Raw genomic sequence first — 4,353 nt, 5'->3', positions numbered from 1 at the left:
TGGGATATTCTAAATCCTTGGTTTTCATTTCAACAATATTCACAGCCTCTTTGGCAGGAGTAGATTCTATCTCAAAAAACCACTTTGTTTATCCATAGAAAGCAACTCCTCATCAGTACAAGTTTTTTCATGAGATGGCCACAATTGAGTCAGATTTTCAGGTTCCCCTTATAATTCTAGCTCTTTTAATATTTAGAGCTGGGCGCAGTGGCTCATGCCTGTAATCCCAGCACTTTGGGAGTCTGAGGCGGGTGTATCACTTGAGGTCAGGAGTTCGAGACAAGCCTGGCCAACATGGTGAATCCCTGTCTCTGCTAAAATTACAAAAATTAGCCGGGTGTAGTGGCGCATGCCTGTAGTCCCAGCTACCCCAGAGGCTGAGGTAGGGGAATCGCTTGACCTTTGGGGGTGGAGGTTGCAGTGAGCCGAGATTGCACCACTGCACTCCAGCCTGGGCTACAGAGTGAGACTCTGTCAAAAAGAAAAAAAAAAAATTCACCACATCTGCAGTGACTTCCTCCACTGAACTCTTGAAAAAGTAATCAATAAGTGTGGGAATCAACTTCTTCCAAACTTATATTAATTTTGATATTTTGACCACTTCCCATGAATCATAAATTTTTTAGTGGCATCCAGAAAGATGAATCCTTCCCAGAAACTTTTCAATACACTTTGCCCATATCCATCAGAGGAATCACTACCTATAATAGCTATAGTCTTATGAATGTATTTTTTTAAATAATAAGACTGGATAGTCAAAATTACTCCTTGATCTATAGGCTACAGAATGAATATTGTGTTACCAGACATAAAAACAACAATAATCTCCTTGCACATCACTATGAGAGTTCTAGAATTATTATGTACATTGTCAAGGAACACTAATATTTTGAAAGAAATATTTTTTTGTTGTTGTTATTTTCCCTGAGCAGTGGATCTCAACAATGAGATTAAAATATTCAGTGAACCATGCTGTAAACAAATGTGCTGTCATTCAGGCTTTATTGTTTCATTTATACAGCACACAGGCAGAGTAGGTTCAGCATAATTCTTAAGGCCCTCAGGATTTTTCAGAATAATAAATGAGCATTGGCTGCAATTTGAAATCACCAGCTGTATTAGCTCCTAATATGATAGTCAGCTTGTCCTTTGAAGCTTCGAAGACAGGCCTTGAGTTCTCCTCTCCTGCTATGAAGTCCTAGATGGCATCCTCTTCCAATAGAACGCAGTTTTGTCCACAGCAAAAGTCTGTTGTTTAGTGTAGTCACCTTCATCAATTATCTTAACTAGATCTTCTGGATAACTTGTTGTAGCTTCCACATAAGCAATTGCTGCTTAACCTCCTACTTTTATGTTATGGAGGTAGCTTGTTTTGTCAACCTCATTAGTCAATATCTGATACCTTGCAACATTTCTTCTTCAGCTTCCTCGTTCTCTCAGCCTTTATAAAATTGAAGGCAGTTAAAACTTTGGTCCGAATTAGGTTTTGGTCTAAGGGAATGTTATGGCTGGTTTGATCTTCCATCCTGACCATTAAAACTTTCTTAGCTAATAATCAAGCTGAAAATCAAATCAAAAAGTCAATTCTATTTATAATAGCTACAAAAAAAAAAAAACCTGGAAATACTTTGACTCAGGAGGTGAAAGACCTCCACAAGAAAACTACCAAACACTGATGAAAGAAATTTCAGATGATAAAAACAATTGGAAAAACACCCCATATTCATGGATTGAATCAATGTTATGAAAATGACTATACTGCTCAAAGAAATCTACAGATTCAGTGCAATTTCTACCAAAATACCAATGCCATATTTTATAAAATTACTAAAATATTCTAAAATTCATATGGAACCAAAAAAGAGCCCAAATATCCAAAGCAATCCTAAGCAAAAAGAAGAAACCTGGAAGCATCATATTACCTGTCTTCAAATTATAATACAAGGCTATAGTACCCAAAACAATATGGTAAGGGTATAAAAATAGTACATAGGTAAATTGAATGGAAAAGAAAACCCAGAAATAAAGCTGTAAACTTACGGCAAACTGATCTTCAACAAAATTGATGAAAACATACACTAGGGAAAGAAACACTATCCAACAAATGGTGCAGAAAAAATTGAATTGCCATATGCAGAAGAATGAAACTGGACTCTCACTATATACAAAAATCAATTCAAGATGGATTAAAGAGTTTAATGTAAGGCCTGCAACTATAAAATATTAGAAGAAAACCTAGGGAAAACTTCTGGACATTGGCTTTGGCAAATAATTCATGACTAAGACCCCAGAAGCAAATGCAACAGAAATAGACAAATGAGACTTAATTTAACTAGAAAACCTTCTGCTAGTAAAAGAGATAACCAATAGAGTAAACAGACAAGCTGCAGAATGTGAGAAAATATTTTCAAACTATGCATCTGACAAACGACGAATATTCAGATTTTTACAGGACACTCAAACATATTGACAACAACAAAAAACAAATAACCTCATTAAAAAGTAGGCAAAATATATGAACAGACTTTTTTCAAAAGAAGATATAAAAATTGCCAAAAAACATATGAAAACATGCACATCAGAGAAATACAAATTAAAACTACAATGAGATATCATCTTACGCCAGTCAGAGTGGCTATTAGTAAAGAGGCAAAAAATAACAGATGTCGCCAAGGATGCAAATAAAAGGGAATGCTTATACAATATTAGTGGAAATGTAAATTAATGCAACCTCTATGTAAAACAGTATAGAGATTTCTCAAAGAACTAAAAATTGAACTGCAATTTGATCCAGTAATCTTACTACTGAATTTCTACCCTAAGAAAAATAAATCATATCAAATAATATCTGCACTCATATGTTTATCACAGCACTATTCATAATAGCAAAGATATGAAATCAAACTAAATGTTAATCAATAGAAGACTGGATAAAGAAATGTTGTGTGTGTGTGTGTCTATGTGTATATACACATATGTATGTGTATACATATATACGCCCTATGGAATGCTACTCATCCATAAAATGCAATTGAGAGGTGACAGCGTGCTGGCAGTCCTCAGAGCCCTCGCTTGCTCTCTGCACCTCCTCTGCCTGGGCTCCCACTTTGGCGGCACTTGAGGAGCCCTTCAGCCCACCACTGCACTGTGGGAGACCCTTTCTGGGCTGGCCAAGGCTGGAGCCCACTCCCTCAGCTTGCAGGGAGGTGTGGAGGGAGAGGCGCGAGCGGGAACCGGGACTGCTTGCAGCGCTTGCGGGCCAGCTGGAGTTCCGGCTGGGCGTGGGCTTGGCGGGCCCCGCACTCGGAGCAGTCGGCCAGCCCTGCTGGCCCCGGGCAATGAGGGACTTAGCACCCGGGCCAGCAGCTGCGGAGGGTGTACTGGGTCCCCCAGCAGTGCCAGCCCCCAAGGGCTGCGCTCGATTTCTCACTGAGCCTTAGCTGCCTTCCTGTGGGGCAGAGCTCGGGACCTGCAGCCCGCTATGCCTGAGTCTCCCACCCACTCCGTGGGTTCCTGTGCAGCCCGAGCCTCCCCGATGAGCGCCGCCCCCTGCTCCACGGCGCCCAGTCCCATCGACCACCCAAGGGCTGAGGAGTGCGGGCGCACGGCACTGGGACTGGCAGGCAGCTCCACCTGCAGCCCTGGTGTGGGATTCACTGGGTGAAGCCAGCTGGGCTCCTGAGTCTGGTGGGGCCTTGGAGAACCTTTGTGTCCATACTCTGTATCTAACTAATCTGATGGGGACGTGGAGAACCTTTGTGTCTAGCTCAGGGATTGTAAACGCTCCAATCAGCGCCCTGTCAAAACAGACCACTTGGCTCTACCAATCAGCAGGATGTGGGTGGGGCCAGATAAGAGAATAAAAGCAGGCTGCCCAGCCAGCAGTGGCAACCTGCTGGGGTTCCCTTCCACACTGCGGAAGCTTTGTTCTTTCGCTCTTTGCAATAAATCTTGCTACTGCTCACTCTTTGGGTCCACGCTGCTTTTATGAGCTGTAACACTCACCGCGAAGATCTGCAGCTTCACTCCTGAGCCCAGGGAGACCACGAGCCCACCGGGAGGAACGAACAACCCCAGACGCGCGGCCTTAAGAGCTGTAACACTCACCGCGAAGGTCTGCAGCTTCACTCCTGAGCCAGCGAGACCACGAACCCACCAGAAGGAAGAAACTCCGAACACATCTGAACATCAGAAGGGACAGACTCCAGACGCGCCACCTTAAGAGCTGTAACACTCACGGCGAGGGTCCGCGGCTTCATTCTTGAAGTCAGTGAGACCAAGAACCCACCAATTCTGGACACACAATGAGGTATGTCCCTATGGAAGTTAAGATTCATAAGGCAGGGTTTTTTT

The 4,353-nt window shown here is 42.6% G+C and overlaps 1 annotated feature.

Moving 5' to 3' along the window:
- Positions 3,717–4,011: an enhancer, noted in NCBI's record as "tiled region #11927; HepG2 Activating non-DNase unmatched - State 24:Quies, and K562 Activating DNase matched - State 3:PromF". NCBI's record gives its function as "activates a minimal TATA promoter and a strong SV40 promoter by Sharpr-MPRA in HepG2 and K562 cells {active_cell/tissue: HepG2 | K562}" and the evidence as "EXISTENCE:reporter gene assay evidence [ECO:0000049][PMID:27701403]".

Source organism: Homo sapiens, chromosome 4 (assembly GCF_000001405.40).
Source record: "Homo sapiens chromosome 4, GRCh38.p14 Primary Assembly".
NCBI classification, from domain to species: Eukaryota; Metazoa; Chordata; class Mammalia; order Primates; family Hominidae; genus Homo; species Homo sapiens.
This window is presented reverse-complemented; position numbering and strand designations above follow the sequence as displayed.